Source organism: Homo sapiens, chromosome 21, assembly GCF_000001405.40.
Source record: "Homo sapiens chromosome 21, GRCh38.p14 Primary Assembly".
In the NCBI taxonomy this organism is placed as follows: Eukaryota; Metazoa; Chordata; class Mammalia; order Primates; family Hominidae; genus Homo; species Homo sapiens.
The window spans coordinates 23,689,850-23,716,071 of NC_000021.9; the positions used below are offsets into that span (position 1 = coordinate 23,689,850).

The 26,222-nt window shown below is 36.4% G+C and overlaps 1 long non-coding RNA gene across 1 annotated transcript; it reads left to right on the forward strand.

The window, feature by feature from the left end:
- The first annotated feature begins 14,393 nt into the window (after positions 1-14,393).
- On the forward strand, positions 14,394-19,496 carry LOC105372749 (uncharacterized). Its single transcript, XR_937611.4, has 3 exons — positions 14,394-14,727; positions 15,249-15,506; positions 18,758-19,496. It is a non-coding gene; the product is annotated as an uncharacterized LOC105372749 (long non-coding RNA).
- The last annotated feature ends 6,726 nt before the right edge of the window (positions 19,497-26,222 follow it).

Genomic DNA, 26,222 nt, shown 5'->3' on the forward strand with positions numbered 1-26,222 from the left:
CTTCTTGAGATAGAACATCTATCTTTTCCTGCCCTTAGACATCAGAGCTTCTATCTCCCACCTTTGGGTTCAAGTTCTGACATGTACAACATGATGACTACAGTTAATAATCCTGCATTGTTTACTTAAAATTTGCTAACAGAGTAAATCTTAAGTGCTCTTACCATCCCCCCCACACACATATATGCACCAGTGGTAATTACAGGTAGTGATGGATATGTTAATTAATTTGACAGTGGTAATCACTACACAATGTATACATATATCAAAAAATTACATTGTACACCTTGAGTGTATACATTTTTTAGCAATATATGATTTAAACTGAAATTTAAAAAATAATAGAGGAAGAAAATGGCATTGGGATGGGGTGAGGCAGAGGTGGAATAAACAGCTTCTTTTCCCACAAAAAAATTGCATTCAAAAATCATTGTTTATAATATAATATTAAAGTTTATTTCAGTTTATACAGCTCCTCTCCTTTTAGAAATTGCATGCTCCTTTTGCTCCACTGCTACACCTCATTTTCACTAACTTTATTATGCAAAGCATATCACTTTGTACTCCCTGCTTCCTCGTGGTTTTCCTTCCTTTCTTCACTATCCAAGACTAATTAATATGTTTTGCTATGAATCATCCACTCCAGCTTCTACCCTTCAGCTGTAAACAATTAGCAGTGACTTGGGAATTTCTAATTCTTCCTTCTCACGTACACTAATGCTCTGTACTGAAAGGGAAAAGCAATATAGTATTTCTTCCCACTGAGATGAATAATGCCATTCCCTACAACCACCCCCTCCCCAACCACCACCACCATCACATATACGGAAGGTAGAAGTAGCTACTATCAATTTAATGTCATGCAGCAGTTCCCTGTCCCTAACTTCTTCATTAAGGTTGACATTAAAAATGAAATAAACCTAAGAAGGGCTTAAGAGATGGACCTATCCATCAGAGAGATATAAAAATAGATATATTTGTGTAAAATATAGCAACACTTTAGCAGTATGCAGTCTTTAATATCTGTATTGTTTATTTAGGAATAAAAGTATTTATGTGAAATTACATGCCTGCTATATATATATATAGATAATCAGCTGGACAAAAACGTTTCATCTCCCCTCTTGATAAAACTCTTACTAGTTGAAGTCAAATAAGCAAACGTTCCTTCTTTTAGCTTAGTGAAGGTCAGAGAAACAAATAATAATACTAGATTATTTTCCAGCCAATAAACACTTTACTTAGTAAAGACAGTGAAAAGCAGGAACATAGAAATGTGAAGCTGCAGAGAAACTGGTTTTAAAAGGGCTACAGTAAGTAATACGTTGTGTACGTTTTCTGGACTTCATATCACTATTTCCTTATGGCGTTGGTTTGGGTAATGTGAACTGCTAGACAAAATAGATCCAACCACCTATAATGTTCAAACACGAAAAAAATGTATTTTTCACTCACCTGTCTAAATCTTGTTTTCCTGGTTTACAGTGAATTACCTCCACAATCCAGGTAACTAGATTTTTTTCTATCTTCTAATTTTCTATTATTAAGACTCCACTGCCTTTTTTCTTCTATTAGCGTTTTGCTAGTGGAAATAATGAGAAAGGCTTTTCAATGGCAATTGCAAACATAACAGTGATAAAAAATTTCGCCCTACTAGGTGGAGCTCAACCACCACTGTGCCCTTGGTACTCCACTATGGAACACATCTATTTCTTAAAAATCATCACATAATAATAACACATATGACTTCTATCCACATTCCATTGTCTAGAACTAGTCATATAGCCCAACCTAACATCAAGAGAGACTGGGGAAATAAAGGCTAGATATATGCCCAACAAGAGAAAATTGATGTTTACTCAATATCCTTTGTAAACATGTATTTGCAATTTTTGTTTTTCAGATTGAAGTTGGCAGTCGGGCGCGGTGGCTCACGCCTGTAATCCCAGCAGTTTGGGAGGCCAAGGCGGGCGGATCACGAGGTCAGGAGATCGAGACCATCCTGGCTAACATAGTGAAACCCGGTCTCTACTAAAAATACAAAAGAATTAGCCAGGCGTAGTGGCGGGTGCCTGTAGTCCCAGCTACTCGGGAGTCTGAGGCAGGAGAATGGCGTGAACCCGGGAGGCGGAGCTTGCAGTGAGCCGAGATCGCACCACTGCACTCCAGCCTGGGCGACAGAGCGAGACTCCGTCTCACAAAAAAAAAAAAAAAGAAAGAAAGAAAGAAAAAAAAGAAAGAAAGAAAGAAAAAAAAAAGATTGAAGTTTCCTCTGGAGTTAAGACTAAAAGGGTGAGTTCTCATTTTTACATGTGATGATTTCAAATACACATGTTTAATCAGTGTAAATTGGATTCAAGTAACTTGTCTTAAGTTTGTAAATACGGACAATCTCACAGGGACAAAACTTTTTTCCTTGTTTTATTTTCAGACATAATCATCTATTTTGTGTAATACTGTTGAGCTGTAATTACAAAAATGAGTAAGATAACATCTACCTCTTAGGATTCCTTGTTATTGTTATTATTCATAAACTGCTTCTAAGAGCTTCATTTTAACAGTAATGGCTTCTTTGAAAGCCATTTAAAGCAAATACACAATCGATTTAAGTTCTGTTTGTTTTAATACTTATGCAACTTTTTTTTCTGGTTAAATATTTGCTAGATTGATAAATTTTATTAGGAAAATTAGAAATTCCAGTTTATGTAAAGTTTTTCAGATGATGTAATAATGTAGTTTTTAGTTGTACTGGCTCTTGGAAGAAACTGCTGGCTTATTAACTTACCATGTGCATTTGTTAATTTTTAATTTTTTTACAAATACAAATTACAAATATTAATGATGTACAATAGGATGTTTTTATATGATGTTGAACATTGCAGAATGACTAAATCAGCCTAAATAATATATCTATTATCTCACATACTTATCATATTTTTGTGATGACAATGTATATAATTTACTCTTTTAGCAGTGTTTAAGTGTGAAGTTAAATGCATTGTTATGAACAATAATCACCATGTTGTACAGTAGATATCGAACTTATTCCTTCCGTCTAACTGAAATTTTGTATCCCTTGATCAAGATTTTCTTAATTCCTTCAACTCCATCCCTGGCCCCATTCTACTGTCTCCTTTAAGTTCTACTTTTTCAGACATCACATGTGAGATCATACGGTATTTGTCTTTCTGTGCCTAGCTTCATTTACTTAGCATACTGTCCTCCAGGTTCATCTCTGTCGTCCCAAAGGACAGGATGTCCTCCTTTTTAAAGGTTGAATAGTATTCTGTTGTCTATATACTCTATATTTTCTTTAACTATTCATCTGATGATGGACACTTAGGTTGAATCCATAGTTTTGCTATTGTGAATAGTGTTACAATGAACACGACAGTGCACATATATTTTTGACATACAGATTTCATTCCCTTATACTTTATACCCAGAAGTGGAATGGCTGGATCATGTGGTGGTTCTACTTTTAATTTTTTTCCAAAACTCCATACTGTTTTCCGTAATGGCTGTACTAATTTACCTTCCCACCAACAGTATACAAGGATTCCTTTTATTTCCACACCCTCTTCAACACTTGTTCTCTCTTGTCTTTTTGATAGTAGCCATCATAACAACTCCTTAAGTGCAGTTTCCATATGTCTACCGAATGTCAAACATTGTGCTAAATGTTGATAATATTGTGATAAAACACAAAAATTTGTCTTTGCCCCACACAAAGTTTATATTATAGTATGGTAAAACAATAGCTATCAGTTGAACTCTTATTATGTTTTTACTTAATCAGAAAAGAAAATAAGTATTTATTACCTCCATTTTGATTCCAAGAAAAATAACTTGTCTAAGGTCTCATTAATCATAAAAGCAAAGATGGGACACAAACTCCAAAGAGAGATTGCTGGCACCACGCCAGTCTCTTTATATCACCTATGACGGTGATTTTTTTCTTTTTTTCTTTTTTTTATGAATAAATGTAATAATATATTTTAATACACAAAAAGTGGCAAAAGTAAAGGGAGAAAGAGACAAAACAGTCATAGAGATTTTAATCTTAGTGAATAAGAGAACAAGTAGGTAAAAATCAGTAAAAATAAAAAAGATTTGATCAAACAATTTTACCTAATTGACATTAAACAATTTATACCACACTGCAAAATACAAATTCTTATCAAGTATTCATTACATTCATCAATATAAACAATATGCTGAACCATAAAACAAGTCTCAATAAATTAAAAGTATTTGAAATTTTGTTCTATATTTTCTGAAAAAAATAGACTTAAATTAGAAATAAAGTGTGCAAAATCTCCCAAAATGTGAAATCAAGCAGCACATATCTAAATGGTCCATAAGTTAAAGAAGAAATAATAATAGAGATTACTATAATTTACATTTGAATGTTAATGGAAACACAGCATATCAAAATTTGTGGGATATAGCAAAAGAAGTGTTTCTTATATAACAAATATTGCATTATTTTTCTATAATTTCATTGGAAAGTAAGTATATTATTACTGTTTAGTTTTCCATGCTTAATTTTAAATTACTTTCTATCCCAGTATTCAAGTAAATTATGCCTTATGCCATGTAGTCTTACCTCCATTTTCTAATAAACCTGTGTGTTTCCCTTGCAGGTAGCTTTTAAAATTTTATTTTTCACTTAAAGTGGAGAAATTACTTGCTGATATGTACTTTTTTAAACAATGAAGAAATAGTGCCATCTTCTGTCTATGTTTTATTCAACAACTGGGAATAAAGAAACATTGGGTTATTATACATAAGCAAAAAGAAGCAAAGAATTTGGAGACATTATGATTTTAGTATAATATGCTACATCTTTGAACACTTGCAAAGGGGCTAATTATTTGAAAGGCCTCTCAGGACAAAGGCATGTTTAAAACAGTTCTGTGTGATTAATTATTCAAAACCTTTGAATATGCATTCAAACATTGGAGAAAAAAGGAAGGAGGCAGGGGAGACAGCTGAGAGTAACAGAAACAGGTGGCAAGTGTTTTTAACTATTTGGTGTTTACAGTGTTGAAGGATTAAAAAGCATTTTTTCTGTTTTTATAACATCTATGAATTCCCCATTCATTGATATCTTCACAAAACTATGCTTGATACTGAAAAATTCTCCAATCACTTATTTGACAAGTGAAAAGTCGGAAAAATAGGAATACATTTTTAAATGAGCTTTTTAATTTCTACATTAATAAATATACTTTTATCTGCATGTGGTTCATAGATTTCAAACTAAAGTCAGAATAAGTAGCTAACATAAATGAAAATATTTTTAGATTTATGAAGTAGCTCAGAAAACCAATTTCTTAAAAATCATATTTGGAAAAATACATTATTAGGCCGAACTTACTTTCATCCATTGCTGCCCTCTCTAAGGTAAAACACAAAAACAAATAAAATCTATCAAATAATTGTATAACTTTTACTAGTATTGAAAAAGGGTATTTGAGTTGCTTTAAATTTTATTTTTATAATGTATCTTGAGAAGATTGCAGTTTTACCACTAGTCAAACTTTTATAAACACATCAGAAATTACATTTAAAAACCAGATCAGGAATTATTTTTCTAAGAAACTAGAAGAAATCAAAGACAAATTAATAATAACTAATAGTTTGAAGCCCGCTTATCTACAAGACTCTAAAGATATAAAAACAAGAACATAAGTTAAAGGCAGCTTCATTTCACGCTTCAGAAAGCTGGTCTTTGGCACACAAGTTTGCTTGCCTTGTATGATCATTTTGCATATTCAGAGGTGAATCCCTGGCGGGGACAGGAAAACATGTGTGGGTGAAGCTCAGAGTAGCAGCACGTCATCAGCAGCTTGACATTCTTCAAAGAAAAAAAAGGTCCTTGCATTTTGGCTATATCACTTACAGTTCACTTTTTTGTGTAATTCTCTATCGGTAAGATTTATTCTAATGGTTTAAAGTGGATTTGTTACCCATTCTTTCCCATTCTGGTGTGGAATCTCCCCGATGAATCTCCAAATAGCTAAACATATTTAAATTCACGTAAATTGATGATTTTTGTCTGATATCAAAGAAGTCAATGCTAGACAGAGTTTACAGCCACATGAAATTAATGGGGCAACTGAGTATCATAACTTCAAGAATGCTGGTTATCTGAGATCTGAAAGGTCACTGGATTTGAGGGAAAAAATCTCTCATCCATTTCTAAATGCTCAATGTGAGGGGCTGCTGCCTGCTTCTAATGTGTGCTAATATCTATGTCCTATTTACATTATATTGGGGTATTACATGTTGATTACAAATATGAAACACACTATAGAAAACTATGCACTGCATATTTATTTAGTCTATCCAGCTCGAAAACCTTTTGTGTGAATTAATTTCAGATTTTCTGGATTCACATTACTCTCCAAATGCATTAATGTCAGCATTTCTTTATTTTGTTCTCCACATTTTCATTATATAGCATTATATGAATGGTGGGCTAGTAAGTGGACCACTTACACTGATCTGAAAGGTTATGTGTGTATATATATACTCCTTTGAACATATATAAATATAGCTTACATTTCCATTTTATGTGACTAAAATTTGCATAATTACCTTTTAACTGAAGACATTTTCCAAGAATATGTCAATGTAGATATAAATCATTGTGAATAGTTTAACTTTTTTGATTTCTCATGAAACCCATCACTACCATTATTTCTTAAGGGATAGACACAGATGTCAAGCTACTTTCTCAATGTCACAAAATCATAACCAGACATAAGCGTTGAGTCCAGTTTTTTTAGACTGTAACCATTAAGCTATTTTATCTCCATATGATCAATAAGATATTAGTTTGCCTGCCTCATGTCTTTATTCTATGACCTACGTTTCTTTGAAGTACATTTCTCTGAATCAGAATATTTCATCTATGGACATTTACCAACCTTCTACAGAAATCAGTAGTTTGTCCTTGCCATTATTTCCAATATACTAAACAGCCCATGAACTCTATGCTCAGTGGGGTAAATATCTCATTATTTTACACTCTTTTAATTGATCTTTTCATAATTCATTTATACCATTCATAGAATTCTGATATTTGATTTAGTGGAAAGAGTTCATTGGTTCATATATCTCAGTAATGTCCAGATTCGACCTCTTCCCTGTTTTATTTCTACCTTTTCCCTATATTTTAATCTAGTCAGTTGACTGTATGTAATTTTAATTATGTTTTATGTGTTCATGATATATATTAGCAAATACATTTGTCCTATGTACGAGGATGTAATTACAGCACTGTACTATTTCTATTGGTATAAAACGGAGAAGATACCATGTAAATCTCAGTAAATGTAAACCTTAGAAAACAGAAATAAAACATAATTTCCACTTTCAAAGGTTTTTATGACTTGAGTAGACAAAGAGAGGTTGACTTGTGATTTTCTCACGTTGGTGATGAGTTTTTGAGTACATAGGTAATATAAGTGAAACTTTGGTTTTACAATAGTGTACAAAAAGGGTGTGAAAACTAAGAAATTGGGGAGATTGGCAAATAGGCATCTGCAATTGTAGGTGCATGAAGTTATTAAACTTAATGGTATATTCAACTCCATAAAATAGAAAACTTTATCAATCAAAAATATTTAAATATTGGCAATTGCAAATGATTTAAGTAAATTAATGGAAGGAGAAATGACTCTTCTTTTTACCTGAAACAGTTCAATGTATTATAGGTATATTTGTGAAATACAGCCTAAATTAATAAAATAAAACATGATAATTTATAGGAGCCAAGAGTAATCATTTAAAAAGAAAACATTGAACTGAATTAAGATATTTGTTGAGGTCAGTGTTGGGGGATACTTCTAGAGCACTAAAAGGACATTATAATCATCTTCTGCAGGTTGTTCATGTATTTCATTTCCAGTAAAGTGTGGTCAAGACTTTTTTAGTCCTATGATGGTTTTATTGGATCTATACTGGTGAAAAAAAAATCCTTGTCTACAGAAAAAATTCGTAAGCTTAGAATGATTAATATACTGTCTCATTAACATAGATTATGGAGGTTGAAATTTAACTAGTGTTTTCTTTTTTTTTTTTTTGAGGTGGAATCTTGCTCTGTTGCCCAGGCTGGAGTGCAGTGGAGAGACCTCAGCTCACTGCCAGCTCTGCCTCCTGGGTGCACACCATTATCCTGCTCAGCCTCCCAAGTAGCTGGGACTACAGGCGCCCACCACCACGCCTGGCTAAGTTTTTGTGTTTTTAGTACAGACGGGGTTTCACCGTGGTAGCCAGGATGGTCTCAATCTCCTGACTTCATGATCCACCTGCCTCGGCCTCCCTAATAATATTTTTAAACACAGTTAACCAGTTTCACAGTGATATTTGACTAGAAGCATTTGGTGTCATGTTACTGACTAACAGTATGCAGATAATTTTTCTATTTGGGGAAAAGAATCAGTAAGGAAAGGCTGTAGATTTAGTGAGGCTAATGTTTAGGAGTTATTCTTTGAATTTTAAGAAACACATGAATAAAACATAGAAATTTTTTTTCTACACTGGGTATGAAATGATAGTCATCTTAACTAGGATGAAAAAAATGGGAAATAAAAATTATATATATAAAAAAACAGAATGGTGAAAAACATTCAGATTACTTGATAAGTAAAGAGAAACACTCCATTTCAAGTTGCAAAAATAAGATTTACAGGAATGAGCATTTAGGTATCCAAAAGGTTCTCAGAGATTTGAACAATTTTTAGGCAGTATAAGAAATTTTATTATACTTATGGTAAACAAATTTATTTAAAAGCTATATTTGTTGTTAGTTTGTGACCCAGGGACATGCTCTGATCACATTTTAAAACTTTAGAAAATAGCATTGACATTAGCTTGACAGATGGAGTGAGCTATGATCCCAGAAATGACTGCAACAGCCCAGTCAAGGAATGATAAATGATTACACTAATAATGTTGTAGTTAATGGAGTGCAAGTAATGGATACAAGTGATAGGAAAGAATATCCTTTGGATTTGTCCATATGTTATACAAGGTATGTGGGAAAGAAAAGACTTGGAGATGATGCTGAGGTTTGTAACTGGCATGGATAAACAGGTGGTGATACTGTTAACGTAGAAGAAGACAAATAAATAAAAAGCTGTGTGTTTTCTGTTACCGTGAAATTACCACATAATAAGTGTCCTAAAAACAACATGACTTATTATTTTATAGTTGTGGAAGTAAGATGTCCAAAATGAGTCTCACTGGTCTAAAATCAAGGTGTTAGCAGGATTACATTCCTTCTGGACATTCTAAAAATTCTGTTTCCTTGCATTTTCCAAATTCTAGACTCTGTTCATATTCCTTAGCTGAAGTGGCCTAGCTCTGTGTCCCCACCCAAATCGCATCTCGAATTTTAATCCAAATTGTAATTCCCACATTTTGGGGGAGGGAACCTCATGAAAGGAGATTAGATCATTGGGGCTGTCTTCCCATGCTGTTCTCATGACAGTGAGTGCATTCTCAGGAGATCTGACGGTTTTATAAGGGGCCTTTTCCCCACTGCACTTCACTCTCCTGCGGCTGTGTGAAGAAGAACGTATTTGCTTCCCTTTCTGCCATGACTGTAAGTCTCCTGAGGCCTCACCATACATGCATAACTGTGAGTCAATTAAACCTCTTTCCTTTATAAATTACCCAGTCTTGGGCATTTCTTCATTGCAACATGACAATGAACTAATATAGTAAATTGGTACCAGGAGTGGGATGCTGCTATAAAGAGATCCAAAAATGTGGAAGCAACTGTGGAACTGAGTAATAGGCAGAGATTAGAGCAGTTTGGAAGGCTCAGAAGGAGACAGGAAAATGTGGGAAAGTTTGGAACTTCCTAGAGACTTTGTTGAATGTCTTTGACCAAAATGCTGATAGTGATATGGGCAATAAAGTCCAGACTGAACTGGTCTCAGATGGAGATGAAGAACTTGTTGGAAGCTGGAATAAATGTGCCTCTTGTTTTGCTTTAGCAAAGAGACTGGAGGCATTTTGCTCCTGCCCTAGAGATCCACGGAAATTTGAACTTGAGAGATATGATTTAGGGTATTTGGCAGAAGAAATTTCTAAGCAGTAAAGCATTCAAAGGGTGACAGGGCTTAAAAGTTTGGAAAATTTGCAGCCTGATAATGCAGTAGAAAAGAAAAAATATATTCCTTGGGAGAAATTCAAGCTGGCTACAGAAATTTGCATAAGCAACTAGGAGCCAAATGCTAATCACCATGACAATGGGAAAATGTCTCCAGGCATGTCAGATATCTTCAGGGCAGCCCCTCCCATCACAGGCCAGGGGTCTAAGAGGGAAAAATGGTTTTCTGGGCTTGGTGCAGGGCCCCTCTGCTGTGTGCAGCCTCAGGACTTAGTGCCCTGCATCCCAGCCACTCCATCCATGGCTAAAAATGGCCAAGGTACAGCTAAGGCCATTGCTTCAGGGGGTGAAAGCCCCAAGCCTTGGTAGCTTCCACATAGTGTTGGGCCTGCAGTTGCAAAGAAGACAAGAATTGAGATCTGTTACCTCCATCTAGATTTCAGAAGATGTATAGGAATGCTGGATGTCCAGACAGAATTTTGCTACAGAGGCAGAGCCCTCAGGGAGAACCTCTGCTAGGGAAGTGTGAAAGGGAAATGTGGAGTTGGAGCCCCTACACAGAGTTCCCACCAGGGCACTGCCTAATGGGACTGTGAGAAGAAGGCTACCATCCTCCAGACCACAGAATGATAGATCCACTGACAGCTTGCATTGTGTGCCTAAAAATGCCCCAGGCACTCAACACCAGCCTATGAAAGCAGCCAGAACAGGGGCTGTACCCTGCAAAGTAACATCGGCAGAGCTATCCATGGCTGTGGGAGCCCACTTCTTGCATCAGCATGACTTTTATGTGAGGCATGAAGTCAAAGGAGATCATTTTGGAATTTTAAAGTTAATGAATTCCCTATTGGATGTTAGACTTGCATGGGGCCTCTAGCCCCTTTGTTTTGGCCAATTTCTCCCATTTGGAATGGGCATATTTACCCAATGCCTGTACCTCCATTGTATCTAGGAAGTAACTTACTTGCTTTCAATTTTACAGGCTCATAGTTAGAAGGGACTTGCCTTGTCTCAGATAAGACTATGGACTTAGACTTTGAGTTAATGCTGAAATGAGTTAAGACTTTGGGGATCTGTTAGGAAGGCATAAGTGTGTTTTGAAATGTGAGGAAGATGAGATTTGGGAGGGGCAAGGGACAGAATGATATGGTCTGGCTCTGAGTCTCCACCCAAATCTCATCTTGAATTTTAATCCTAATTGTAATTCCCATGTGTCGGGGGAGAGACCGAGTGGGAGGTGATTACATAATGGGGACAGTTCCCCCATGCTGTTCTCATGATAGTGAGTGAGTTCTCACAAGATCTAATGGTTCTATAAGGGACTTTTTCCCCTTCGATCTGCACTTCTCTCTCTCCTGCCTAAGACCTCCGCAGCCATGCAAAACTATGAGTCAATGAAACTCTTTCCTTTATAAATTACCCAATCTTGGATATTTCTTCAAAGCAGCATGAAAACAAACTAATGCATTGGCCCATAACACCCTTCCATCTTCAAAGTCAGAAATGGCAGGTGGCATCTTTCTCACAATGCCATCTCTCTGGTTGGACTCTTATGTGCCCCTCTTCCTCTTTTACAAGTATCACTGGAGTAACACTGCAATGGCATTTCCCTTTAAGATAAATGGGTTAGTAATCTTAATCCCTTTGCAATATTAATTCCCCTTTGCCATAGAACATGACACATCCAGGGGTTCCAGGGCTAAGGATATGAATATCTTTGGGGTCTGTTTTTCTGCCAAAGAGGCACATTATAGTGTAGCCAATAAGGGACAGCAAAAGAATGAAAGTAGCTTTCAAACACACTGATTTTAAGATTCTGGCTCTATAGCCACATAAAAATTTCTAGGAAGGACTTAAAGAGTTAGATACACTCCATAATAGAATTTGCTTTCAACTTTTTAAATCGTGCCATCCTACCTTTGCACAGACACTGCTGCAACTACATAAAAGCCTACTTTTGAGAGTTGGCCATTTTCACTCTCTGGTTTATGTATATTGGTTTTCTATTGCTGCAAAAAATTACCTCAAACTTAGCACCTTAAAAAAATAGCCATTATACCTCATACTTCCAGGTCAGAATTCCAGCACAGTTTGGCTTGTGTGTTCACAGTATCATAAAACTGAAATCAAAGTGTCAGTCCGGCTGAATTCTCATTGTTAGGCTACATGGAAATGTGTGTTGCCAAGCTCGTTCTTGTAGGTAGAATCTAGCTCCTTGCAATTATGAGACCATTCCTCATCCCCATGTTTGCTGTCAATCAAGTGCTGCTCTCAGTCTCTAGAGGTTACCTACATTTCTTGTCCGTGGTCTTGCGGTCTCCATAATCTCCAAGCCAGCAAGAACACATAAATATGTCTGCTTTCGGTCTCCAATTTCCCTTCTGCAATCAGCAGGAGGAAACTCTATGCTTTAAAAGGGCATGTGATTAGGCCTGGATCATCTCCCTATCTCATGGTCAACCTTGCCCTATAGTACAGGCTAAATCAGATTACTCATGCAAGTAAAATCTATTACTTTCAGAGTTCAGAGAATTAAACAAGATGTGTACACCTGAGGAGTGGAAGTCGTGAGGCAATCTTAGAATTCTGCCTATCATACTCAGCATTACTGCTTCCTCATTTCCCATGATACAACTACTTCTAATCTTTGCACCTGAAATCTTGACTTTTGTGTCTACCTTGACCATGGCTCTCTTGCCTGATAATATCAATATCTTTAATCCAACTTTATCAACCATATCTGTGAGCAAGTCATTCTCCTGCCTTCTATCATCCCCCTCCCACTCCATAGCATAGAGAGCTTGGCCAGTCTTCTTTTTTTTTTTCCTGAACATAAGAAAACTGCACATTATTGATGGAATCTTGAGTTATAGCCCTAAGTTTGGAATTGTCAGTGTAGTGTTGACAGAAGATGGAATTAAAAACAAGGGATGCAAAAGATCTGAGATTTTCTCTGGAGCAAGTGTAGAGGTAAAAAGAGAAAAATGTGAAGAGAAAGAAGAGGAGGAGGAGCACGTGTAAAGAAGGGAAAGGCAATAGCTGAGAAAGGAACTTGGAAGAACCCATCACTCACTGGTCAGTAGCTAAAGACGTTGTGCAGACAATGTGCAGATATAACAACCTCAAAATACTTTTAGGTTGAAAGAACTTAAACATTGTTTACAAGTTTGCTTCTTTGAAACTAAAAAATATTTTTAATTAAAAATTGGAACACATATAGATGTAGTCGTTCGTTAGAAAGCATATTCTCAACTTTTCAGACTTAGATTGGTTGGAGAGGTTTCCCTGGGAGCCTCTTCCTAAAAGGTGACAAGGAGGCGTGGGGAAGGGAATAGACATTTGTTCTGAGTACGACGGGAAACATTGCTGTGCAAATGTTTAGAGCTGAATGAAAAACCAAGTCACATACAGGCAAAATGCAGAGGAAAGAGATAATAAATAAATGATTGAGGGTTAGAAACAAATGAATGAGAATTAAAAGTCAGCTTTCTATTCCTCATGCCAGTGACTAGCTAAGATATGAGCATTTTTTGTTTGTTTTTATAGGAATCCAGACAACACATTTTCTTGCTTAACGAGGTTTGTCAGAGTCGGGCTGAATAAGAGTTTTAATTAGCTAGTAGGGTTAATTTTATCTTATGCTTCTTGAAGTGGAAACAAGTAACAAGGAAATGTAAAGAACTTAGATACTGGCCGGGCACCGTGGCTCACGCCTGTAATCTCAGCACTTTGGGAAGTCAAGGCAGATGGATTGCTTGAGGCCAGGAGTTCGAGACAAGCCTGGGCAACATATTGAAACCCCATCTCTACTAAAAATACAAAAATTAGCCTTCTGTGGTGGTGCACACCTGTAGTTCCAGCTACTCTGGAGGCTGAGGCATGAGAATCGCTTGAACTAAGAGGCGGAGTTTCCACTGAGCTGAGATTGTGCCATTGCACTCCAGCCTGGTCAACAAAGAGAGACTCTGTCGCACAAAAAAAAAATAAAGAAAGAAAGAAAAGAGAAAATAATTTAGATACTTAGTATCCTGTTGAGGCAAAAGGGAAGCTTATTTTAACAGTACATTTTTATGTCACAGCTGAACAGCTCTGTCTATAGCTTGGCTGGGCAGCTTCATTATTTAACAGAATTGTGGGAGTGGGGGTAGCGCCTGGGTGGCTTCAGCCTGGGATACGCGAATATGAGGTCATGATGAGAAAGAGAGATTTGATTATGTGGGTCATAAAAGTGGTCATTACCAACCTCCCACATTTGTGGAAATGTATCTCTCTTTCCACAGGGACTGCCTGAAATGAAAAGTGGCTCTTTAGAAACAAGGAGGATTTTATCGCTCAGGCAGAAGCCTCATAAAGGCTGCCATGAGATTTGCCTCGAACAGTTAGGAAGGCACCTTCATCACAGAAGGCCTGCAAAGCTCAGAGTAAAGTGCCCATGAGAAACCGCGGAGACAATTAACCCCTTATAATATTTCTGAAAGGAAATATCCAGAATCCTGGAAGAAGAAAATTATCTTGTTTAAATAGCTTTTAATTAACTGCAAGGAACCATGAAACCGTTTTGAGTGGAGTCAAAAGGGGCCATTTGAGCCGCAGAGGTACTTGGCTGTACACGGCAGCCTCCTGGGGAGATTGCTTTGCTGTCCTATTAGAATTCTTTTCCAGGGTTAAGGGTCATTTTAAAGATCCCCATATGGTATTTCCATACTCACCAAGAAATGACACTAGTTAAAATTACAGGAACTTATTTTGTCCTGTTTATTTGCTATCAAGTGTGTTCAAAATATATATTCGATGCTTTGTGAAGTGTGGCTTGACCAAGCTTCACAGGTCTTTACATTTGCAGCAGTATTTCGAGTAGACAAAAGAGATGAAGACCAGTCATCTTGCCCCATTATATATTATTTCATAGCCTCTAAACCTGATTAAGTTGCTCTCAACTGTAGTAAAGAAAAGGACTGTAACTGCCTACCTCAAAAAGGAAAATGTGTAGCTTTTGATAGATGGGATAAAGAGACATGTACAACCAATAGATATGGTTTTATTGTTAGTATAAGAAACTTGTGACTTCAGCTAATATTGGCTAAAGTCATTAATACTGTTTTTTTTTCTTTCTCAGACACTATCCCAACAACCAAAACATTGAACTTTCGTGGCAAGCTTTGGTAGCACACAGGCCTTCAGCTATTTTACTGTAGTGCATATGTTATGTGTCCACAAAGCTACGAACAATTTTTGCTTAAGGAAATTGACTTTTCATTGTGATGAAAATCCACGAGGACAGGAGAAAAAAAGGAGAAAAGGCCAAGAAGAAGAAAAGAAATGTGTTTCTTACATTCTGAGGAAAATCAGCAGAATATGTGAAGTTTTTTGTTTAGTGTGTAAATTTCATCACACCATTCTGATTGAACATGTCTATGAGGCTAAAATTACAGTGTATGGATGAATGTCAAGTGTTACCAGTTTAAAAAGATAATGTCAATTCTTTATGAACTGCTGCATTCTCATATGAATTACATTTAAGCATATGGCTTTTTAACTTATATATTTATAATGCTTGCTTTAGTCTTAATTGTAAAATTTTCTATAAGTTACAAAAATTCACAGCTGTCAAATCTTTAATAACGAAAGTGTTTTGAAATGCTGGCATTAAGTGTAGACAAAATTTTTGCCAGCATAAGTGCTAACGTGTCTGTAAAACAAAATTAGAACACATGCACTTTTAGTTTTTTAAGGAAAGAAATATACATCCTGACATTCATATTATGAAAAGTAGAGTGATAAATTAGTCTTTAGGTATTAGAACATATAAAATAATGTATTTTGCTTCAAAATAAGGAACAAAACACAATTCACCAAGAATATTAAAGATTAGAAGCCATAATCAAAAAATAAATGACTCTTACTTCAATACTCCAAAACTAAATACATGATGAGGTCTACCCTGTCATTTTTGATCATGGTAAAATCAGGAGCAAATATTTGCTGGGCACCCACTGTATGCATCTATGTTAATCCAGGTTCTCTTAGAAGCAGATGCTAATATGGGATTAAATGTGTGTGGATGGCCAGGGGTATGGTGATTCACTCTGGTAACTCCAGCACTTTGGGAGGCCAAGGCTGGCAGATCACCTGAGGTCAGGAGTTCGAGACCAGCCTGGCCACCATGGCAAAAAACCCTCTCTACTAAAAATACAAAATTAGCCAGGGGCAGTGGCACATACCTGTAGTCTCAGCTACATAGGAGTCTGAGGCAAGAGAATCACTTGAGCCAGGGTGGCAGAGTTTGCAGTGAGCCGAGGTCATGACTCTGTACTTCACCCTGGGTGACAGAGGGAGACTCTGTCTCAAAAAATAAGTAAATAAATAAATGTGTTTGGGTTTTATTAGGGAAATAACTATGGGAAAAATAAATAGGGGGAACCTGGAAGAGCCATAAGAGCCCAAAGCAAATTTGACCCAAAGTGAAAAAGAGAAAATTGGCTGGACCCATCCTGGACTGCCATGCAGCCTAAGAACTATTCATTTGAAATGCCAAAGATTTTTTTGAGCACAAGTCAGCTGACAAAGGGATCCCATGTTTCCTAGGATCTTAGTCTCTCTGTCACACTCAGTCATCCACAGGGATCAGCCTGTCGGGGAAAATGCTTTGGCACAGATGCTGAAATGAATTTAAAAGCAAAGCAGCCAGGGCTCTATGTCAAGAATACTTTCTGTAGCAGAAAGTCTGAGGAGCTTAATCTCAGGGCTTCCAGAAGAATATTCTTGATGTGAGATGGAAAAGTACATGAGAGTCAATGGCAGAATATGTTCCGTTACTACAGGAACCTATAATCAATTTTAAAACCTGCTGAGATGGTTAATTTTATGTGTCAACTTGCCTTGGCTAAGGGATGCTCAGATAGCTGGTAAAAAAAAAAAATGTATCTCTGAGTGTATCTGTGAAGGTGCCTCCATAAGAGAGTCACATTTGAATCTGAAGGCTGAAAAAGGAGATCACCCTCACCAACTCTAGTGGGTATCATCCAATCCTTTGAGGGCAAGCATAGAACAAAAAGGCCAAGAAAGTGCAAATTTGCTCGTTTGAGCTGGGACATCCATGCTCTCCTGTGCTTAGACATCAGTGCTCCTGCTTCTCAGGCCCTCAGACTGAGCTAGGGACTTTTACAGCATTTGATCCCCTGCTTCTCAGGCCCTTGGGTTTGAACTGAAATTACACTGCTGGCTTTTCTGGGCCTCTACCTCTAGAGAACACATGTTGAAACTTCTCAGGTTCCATAATTGCCTGAGCAAATCCCTCAAAAAAGTCACTTCCTATATGTCTTTCTATGTGTCTTATTAGTTTGTTTTTTTGGGGTGAAACATGACTAAAACACCTACTTTGATATTTTCCACTGGAAACTAAGTTAATAAAAAAGCTTTGGGGCATTTTGTTTGCATCCCATTCTCATTCTATTTCTCTGCGCACCTTCCATCATCCTTTCTATGTTTCAATCTTTGATGCCAAGAAATACATCTTCCTCTTTGTGTTATCCGTGAAAGTAAAACATTCTCTAAATTTTGATTTTTGAAGCAGCAGAAAATAAAAACAGATGAGGTAGATACGTTCAGACTCCATTCATCTTGGAAGAACCTATGTCTTCTGAAAAGAAGCTGTTTTTTGGTTATTTTTAATTAAATTTTTAAATTTATTAACAAAGTGCCCTAGGCTCTATGTTGAAAGAACAAGGCTTCATATGAGGATATAACTCTCTATACAATTCCACTGTTTTTAAACTTGTTCAATACCTGTAAATCAAGTGTAAGTTGCACACACAGGATGCCTTATGTTGGCATGAGCTTGCCATTGGTAGGTCTGCATTTTCACCATCCTCTTAGTTCATTCTCGCTTTCTACAGCAGAGGTGATTCTACATAGAACAATGTGTGTGTATGTGTGGGGCAAGTTGTGAAGGGAGGTTGGGGAACATAACAGAATCATGAGTCTTTCCATTGCTGAACAACCAGCATATCAGTGAAAGAGGAGTGGCCTAGAGTTTGAAAAAATTCAGAATAGAAAAGGGGTGACTGAAAGGAAAGGGATATTTAGTATCAAGGAAGAGTCCTAAAACAGGAATTAGGACATCTGAGTTCAAGTCCAACTTCAATATTTATTAGCTGTGTGATTGTTAAAAGATAACTAAATTAGTTAATGTTTGTGTTTAAAAACCCAAATAATAATTATTAAAGAAAATAAAAAATTACCATAAAATTTCTAAGAATATTAAATTTCTGAAAATATTAATTCTGAAATTGCACGTTATGCAAATTAAACAAGTGTATTATAAAGTATCTTAATAAGTATTTACATATACTGTAAACATATCTTAATTATCTATAAATTTACATTCCTACAAATGCTACAGCTTAATTATTTGATTAACAATATAGATGCTTTGGTTTGGGTTAACTCATTCACACATATGCACTACAGAAGCCCAATTCAAACTTAACTCAAAAACACAAAGTAATTATTAGTTCATGTAACAAAGATGTTTGTCTCAGGGAGCAGTAGAATCAAAATGAAAATAATATCATCTTGGCTCTGCCTTTATCAGTTTTGCTTATCTGTGCTTCTCTTTTCTTCCAGGTTTTTTTTTAATTCCTGTTGCAGATAACTTTTTTGCCTCATTGAGAAAGATGACTTCTGTAAATCATAACCCTGTATGCTAACAGCTAGTGATCCAAAATGAAGACAGTTTTCCCCACCATTTCCAGCAGGAGAGTCCATTGGATGATTCTCACCATGTCTGGGTCCTTGTGCCCAGGTTTCAGTCAATTGCTCCTCCCAAAGGGTTGCGGTGTGATCACTGGCCTAGCACAGCTTAAATGCTCGGGCTTGTTGTCATGGAGAACAAAATACAAAGAATGATGATTCCAGCAAGACCACAGGTGAAATATATTCCGACGAAGAATGAGAAATCTATAGCATAATTTGAATTGTTGAAAACAAGGAAAGAAATATCAAAGGATGCCATTTATAGGATAAGAATAGGAGGTAATTGAAAATTCGATTTTATTAGGGCAAAAGCTAACAGTTTGAAACCAGTATAAAGCACTGGGTGTCTGGGAGAAAAGGAAAAGGAAAGGAAGTTGGGAAGGACCTCAGGCCTAAGAATGCACAAATGTCATTTATGTGGAAATTGCACCTTCAATTTTAATACCAACTGATATCTGATGTTTCACAGATATATTATTATTAATTAGAGATGTTACAAAATTCTGCCTAAGCAAACCCATCTCTCCAGATCAGGTGTATATTTCTAGCCAAATTCTACTCCTATGTGAAAGGATACAAAGCAAAATAAAATAAAATCAAGAAATACGAATACCCATGTCAAGTCTCATATTCTTTATCTTTGGCCATTTCGTCTACATTTTCCACAATTTTTTAACCTCTCTGTTCATGATCTATTTTTAAAAGTATAAAATTCTTCAATGCCCAGTTTGTTGACACATGTAAACTGATAAAAATAATAAAAATAAGAAGCAGCTGCTTAAAAAAGAGATCACTCTTTCGTGCTTTCCAAAGTGTGGTGGTGGCTGGAACTGCTTTCTTTTGACAGCCTCTTATATTTTGTCCCCTTGTTCCCCTACGTCGTTCAGTGTTCACTTCTATAGTGATGAATGTATTATGGACTTCAAGGTAGTTTAACTCTAATCAAAGGAATGGGAGTGATCTTAGTAAGAAACTGCAGTAAACCTTAAGTGCATGTTGTTTCTTGCAGCTCATTCACTCACCTATTAAGAGAACTAACTGCTCATTTGTTGTATTTTCCAAATTTGCCCTTTTAAAGCAACTAAATTATAATAATTTTATATACATTTCCTTTCTAATATACTCATTACCTTAGCTGGAAATGAAATACTTATAGGCACCCATATAAGGAGAGTTATACCTTTTAAATGTAAGTAACTATCAAAGTTCAAAATAGAAATACCTCACCTATATACCACTTTGTTTGCTGATTAATTACTGTAGACTTTGAGTTCTGTCAGCCTATAAAGGAAAGTTGCATTTTCTAAACAAAAGAAAATTTTTTTCAGCTTTCAACTTTTTTCTGAGAGCCTGGGTTTTTCCTTGAATTGAAAGTAGTGTTTAATCTTAAGGTGGAGTGGCAGGAGAGTCATTATCTGAATTTATTGTCAAAAACAATCTAAATCCCTAACAAAGGGGAAAATACATTAAGTGGTTTCAGTGAGATGTATGTTGAAGAATAAATGGATGAGTGAATCAATAGATTAATGAGATAAGTGGTCTCTCTTGCTGCCCAGAATCCTTTGGGGTATTCCACAGGATGCTGCCTTTGCCCTGCTAATCAAAAGGGAGACTATGGAGACCCTCTCACTTCAGACCCTTTGTCTCTCAACCACAGGCCCAATTCCAATCCTCCCCAACGTGTGATCTCTGGACATCAATCCCCACCCCTGTCTTAGGAGAATAAAAATAGATGGTGGAGGTTTTCAGTTGGGAGTTTGACAGTCCTTAAGCCCTAGTAACATTTACCTAAAGAAGGTGCAAGATCCATTGGATTCATTTTTGAAATTGTATTGAGCCACTGATGATCAAAGCAAGCTAATGAATCATGATGATATCTGGTTTAACTACCATGGTAGGCATATAAATCTCAGTTGTTTGTCCTATGTGTATGAAACAGCGGTATAATCCAAACAGTCAGTAAAACTAAAATTCTAACTATTTTACAATCTGGTCATTCTCCAGGAGATATACCTGTATTATAGCCTTCCTGGGCTAATTTTCCACATAAAAAGATTCATTTTAATCTGATTTTAAGGAGATGGATGTATTTTGACCCAAAGTGGTATCAGCTAATGAGAGCAAAATAGTCTTTAGCTGTTATTTAATGCTCAGTACACCTTGCATCTAAATTAAAGTGTATAAAGGGCAGTTTTAACTATTTTCAATAAAAATGTTGTAAAATTGTTAAGGGATATGTACTTAAGCATAGACTTACTATTAAAGCCAGTTTAGGCTGAGTGGGGTGGCTCACACCTATAATCCCAGCACCTTGGGAGGCCAAGGATGGAGGATCACTTGAGCCCAGGAGTTCAAGACCAGCCTAAGCAACATAGTAAGATTCTGTCTATAAAATAAAATAAAATAAAATAAAATAAAATAAAATAAAATAAAATACAATAAAATAAAATAAAATAAAATAAAATAAAATAAAATAAAATAAAATAAAATAAAATAAAATGGCTGGGTGTGTTGGTCTGTGCCTGTAGTCCCAGCTACTTGAAAGGCTGAGGTGGGAGGATCACAGGAACCAGGGAGGTTGTGGCTTCATTGAGCCATGATTGCACCACTGCACTGCAGCCTAGGCAACAAAATGAGAGGTATCTAATTTTAAAAAAACAAAACTAAAACCAGAAAACACCATAGTTTATGTTCTATAAATAAAAAAAAAGTAGTCTACAAATATGTCTGATGCCAGAAGAAAGTTACATCAACAGTTGTTATGGATAATGTAAAAAACATCAAACCTAAATAGCTTGACAGCATGTAACTGTTCCTCAGGAATCATCATTATCATCATCACAATTGTCATTATGAGCAGCAGTAACACATCACAGTTATTATGCCCTTACTCAGTATATTTAATTCTATATTTTCTATAACCTTTTGACTTAGGTTTAATAAATCCCATTTAAAAAATAAGAAAACAGGGCTGGGCATGGTGGCTTATACCTGTAATCCCAGCACTTTGGGAGGCCGAGGCAGGCGGGTCATGAGGTCAGGAGATTGAGACCATCCTGGCTAACATGGTGAAACCCCATCTCTACTAAAAATACAAAAAATTAGCCAGGAGTGGTGGTGGGCACCTGTAGTCCCAGCCACTCGGGAGGCTGAGGCAGGAGAATGGCGTGAATCCGGGAGGCCGAGCTTGCAGTGAGCCGAGATCGCACCACTGCACTCCAGCCCAGGCAACAGAGCGAGACTCCATCTCAAAAAACAAAAAATTAATAAAAAATAAATAAAAATAAAAATAAGAAAACAGGAATCATAGAGACTGGGTAACTTTTCTCAGGCCACACAGAAAATAGCAAGAGCCAGATGTGAATCACACATCTTTCTTGTTCTAAATTTCCTGTCGTCAACCACTACCCTGCCTCCCACAGTGTCTCTTAGGCACTCACTTGACATTGTTTTTCCTGATATATCTCACAGGTCCCTGTAGTTTTATTGCATTGATATCCTCCACGGAAATTCTCCAATTTCCCTACTCTACAGTCTGCATTTTTTTTTCAGTTACATATGAAATGCAGCTTTGGAATTCCTCACTCTGTCTACTTAGCTAAAGCTTATGGCAGATTCTTGGCACATATGTTTTACTTTATCAGTTTTCTTCAGAGTGTTGTTCTTGCCACATCACAAATGTTTTTGCTTCCTTACATAATGCAAATTTTCATCACCCAAGCCCATGTATTGGAAAATGTAGAAATAAAATACTGCTTGAGAATTTGAGATATTATAATGAGTTAAATTTGCCCCACATAGAGCCCATTCTCTAGGGACCACACCACTTAGATCTTGTTACTAAAATATATGAACCGAAAGAGAAGCCAAATCAGGAAAAAGCTGGTTCAAGATGTGCAAAGGGCCAACCTCGTTAGAAGGATTTACAACCCAATTACATAAGGTCTAAGAGACTGGGCAAATTATTGAGGCTATTCATATTATTTTACTAGAGCAGAAATTAACTATGTTCAATAATGGAGTTATTAGCTAGACCTTGAAAGGACAATTAGAGATCTTTGTTCCAATACAATTTGATTTGTTTATAAAGCATTTCTTAGTTATAGCTGCCCTGTCTTATTATAAGAATTTTTCTTTTGTTACAAGAATTTAAATTCTTATGTTTAAATTTTGTTATAAGAATTTAAATTCAAATACTAGATATTTTAATAAATATCACTAGCATTAATATTAATATTTTTGCTAAGTGAGAATAACATTCATTTTTAATTTTTTTAATGATAAACATTATCTGAAAAAATGTAACCCTACAGATTATTTTACAGCTAGACATTTTACAAAGTTAAGTACTAAATAATAATGCTTTCAAATTATAGCACTTTTTTTGCACATCATCAACAAACTAAGCTTTTTTTTTTTTATTGCTGTTCTTATAAAACCTGTCTAATTTCGTGTGATAATTAATTTTATGTGTCAACTTGACTGGGTCATGAGGTGCCCAGATATCTGGCCAAGTCTTATTGTGGTGTGTCTCTCAAGATGTTCTTGGATGAGATTAACATTTAAATGGGTAAACTGAAGAAAGCAGTTGTCCTTCCTAATGTGGGTCAGCTTCATGCAATCAGGTGAAAGGCTGAATAGATCAAAAAGCCCAAGTTAAGAGATAATTTCTCCTGCCTCATTACCTCTGAACTGGAACATCAGTTTTTCCCTGCCTCCAGAGACTCTACCTAAAATATTGGCTCTTCCAGTGTCTTGAGCCTGGATCTTGAGCCTGGAAGTACATCATCAGCTCTCCTGGTTCTCAGATCTTTGGACATGGACTGGAACTAAACCTTTGGCTATCTCAAGCCCTAAATTGCTGACTTATCTTGCAAATCTTCAGGAATTGTCAACTTCCACAATCACACGAGCTAATTTCTTATGACAAATCTGATGTGAGTGTGTGTGTAATTATGTATAAGAATTTATATATAAATATATGTAGATTATACATAAGAATATATGTAGATTATATATAAGAACATATATAAGAATATAGGTAGATTATATATAAGAATATATACATATAATCCTATATACATATAATCACATGAGCCAATTTATTATAATAAATCTGATATCTGAAATACATAAATTCACAGATATATGTTTATTTAAAGAATCCTGACTGCCAGAGAGAAATTAAAATAGAAAAAATAGCTTTGGTGATTGGAGATAGTGATTTTAATTTTGTACTTCAGTTTCTCTTGCATCTATACTAATAGATCTTTGGTTTAGCAAAAATAAAGGGGGTGGAGATATTAATGAGGAAGGATAGTTAAGTCTTTTAAGAACCTGTTTAGACATGTCTCCTGAAAAATTAGTGCATATTATGTATGGAAATACTTGACTGCTAATTAGAACTGCTGCATAGTTCTTAAATAAAGACTGGATAAGTAGTCTGGTACTCCAGTTTCTATCCTTCATCAACTTCTAACTCAGTTTGCAAATTTTGAGATTCTCCTTAAAGTTTTCTTGTGCTTCCTATCTCTAATTTTGTTGACATGGAAGAATAAGCTCTTTTGATTATATTTTTTCAGTAGTCATGATGATTAGTTTTGAAATGGGAGAGTTCCCTGATCAGCCTCACAGGACAGGTGATGGGCTGTGTTTCATCTATTTGGTCACTACCATTGCTCAAACCTCTGACAGGAGTGGGGACATGCAGACAGGCAGGTGCAGGAGCCAGCGCACTGGGCTCTGGCCCCACAGCAGTGTGCAGGGGTGGGAGCTTGTGACTCCCATGTTACAATACTCTTTTAGCTCTGCCATCCACAGACCACCTAAGTGGTCTCAGGTGTGTCTTTGTTAGCAGTGTGAAAACAGACTAACGGCCCCTCTGCCTTTCTGCAAGGGCAGAGGGCCAGTGTGACAGCTTTCTATATCCTGAGCTTTTGTCCAGCACCCCGGAAGAATCAGGTCACACACAGATTTGAAGGATAAATACAGAGGTTTTCTTTAGTGGTGGAGGTGGCTTTCAACAGGATGGATGGGGAGCTGGAAGGGGGATTGAGTGGGCAAGTGATCTTCTGCTGGATAGCCAAACTCCTCTCTGACTGCCCCCAGCCAAACGCCTCTCAGCGTTCAGACATTCCTTCTCTTCTCTCTTTCTCTGCCATGCCATTCCCCTGTTCAACTGCTTGTCTTCTCACCTCCTCATCTTCTCATCTGTTTATCTGCTTCTGGAGCCTTTTTATGGGTACAAGATTGCGGGATGTGGAGGGCTAAAGGCAACATTTTGGGCACAAAAACAGGAATGCCTCTCCCAATTTAGGGCCACAGGTCTCCAGGCTTGAGGGTGTGGTCTTTGCTGGGGAACCACCCTCTTCTATCCAGTATTTCCCTGTCTCCTGTCTGTATTAGTTTCATATGCACATTGATTGATTCATTCATTCAAAACAATTTTAACTAAGGGCCCAAGAAACTTCAGTCTTTCTTCTGAGCACTAACACAGGGCAGTGAGAATGAGAGTCAAGACTTCCATTCTCAGGAAGCTTAGAGGGAGTCAAGGAGAAAAACAATAAATGAGTGAAAAAACAAATGTATATGATAATTTCAAATTGTGATAAAATCTGGAAATAAATAAGGGTTATGAAAGAAAATGGGAGTTGTTCTATTTCATTGTTAGGAAAGTTCTTTCTAAGAAGTTCACAATTTAGATGAAACATGAATTGTATAAAGAAACCAGTGAAGTCCTGAATTGAAGACAAAGCCAAACGAACAAGTAAATTAGAGGTGAATTTAGAATGCTGAAGAAACAGATCTCTTCCTCATCAGGCCTGATCAGCAAGAATTCCCATTCATGATCCTCCATGCTCTGTCTACATTCAAGCAATGGCAACCTTGAAAGTTATCTGTGGAAGCTGATGGAGGCTTTACTTAAAATGTCTAGACTACTGATTTACCTTTTGAGGAGGGTTACAAAATAATAAGAAAATAATACTTACTGTATGTGAGCAAGAAATAATCATTTACTGTATTGTATCACTGCAATTCTGAGATGTATCTTTTACATTAGCCAGAATTGCCTATATTAATACAGTCAAAAATTTGGGTTTTTATTAAGTGTCATGAGAATATGTTAACAGACCTCAAGCAGGGTAAGTAATATGATTTGGTCTTTGTTGTTATGCTACCACTCTGCTGAGTGGCAACGGTTTGTAGAGGAACAAGGGCAAGAGATTAATTAGGAATAAGATAATCAAAAGCTGACAATAGCATGGACTAGGGTAGTTGCTACAGAGATAGAAGGAAATACACATGTTCTGTGTTTTTTTCAAGGTAAGTATAAAAG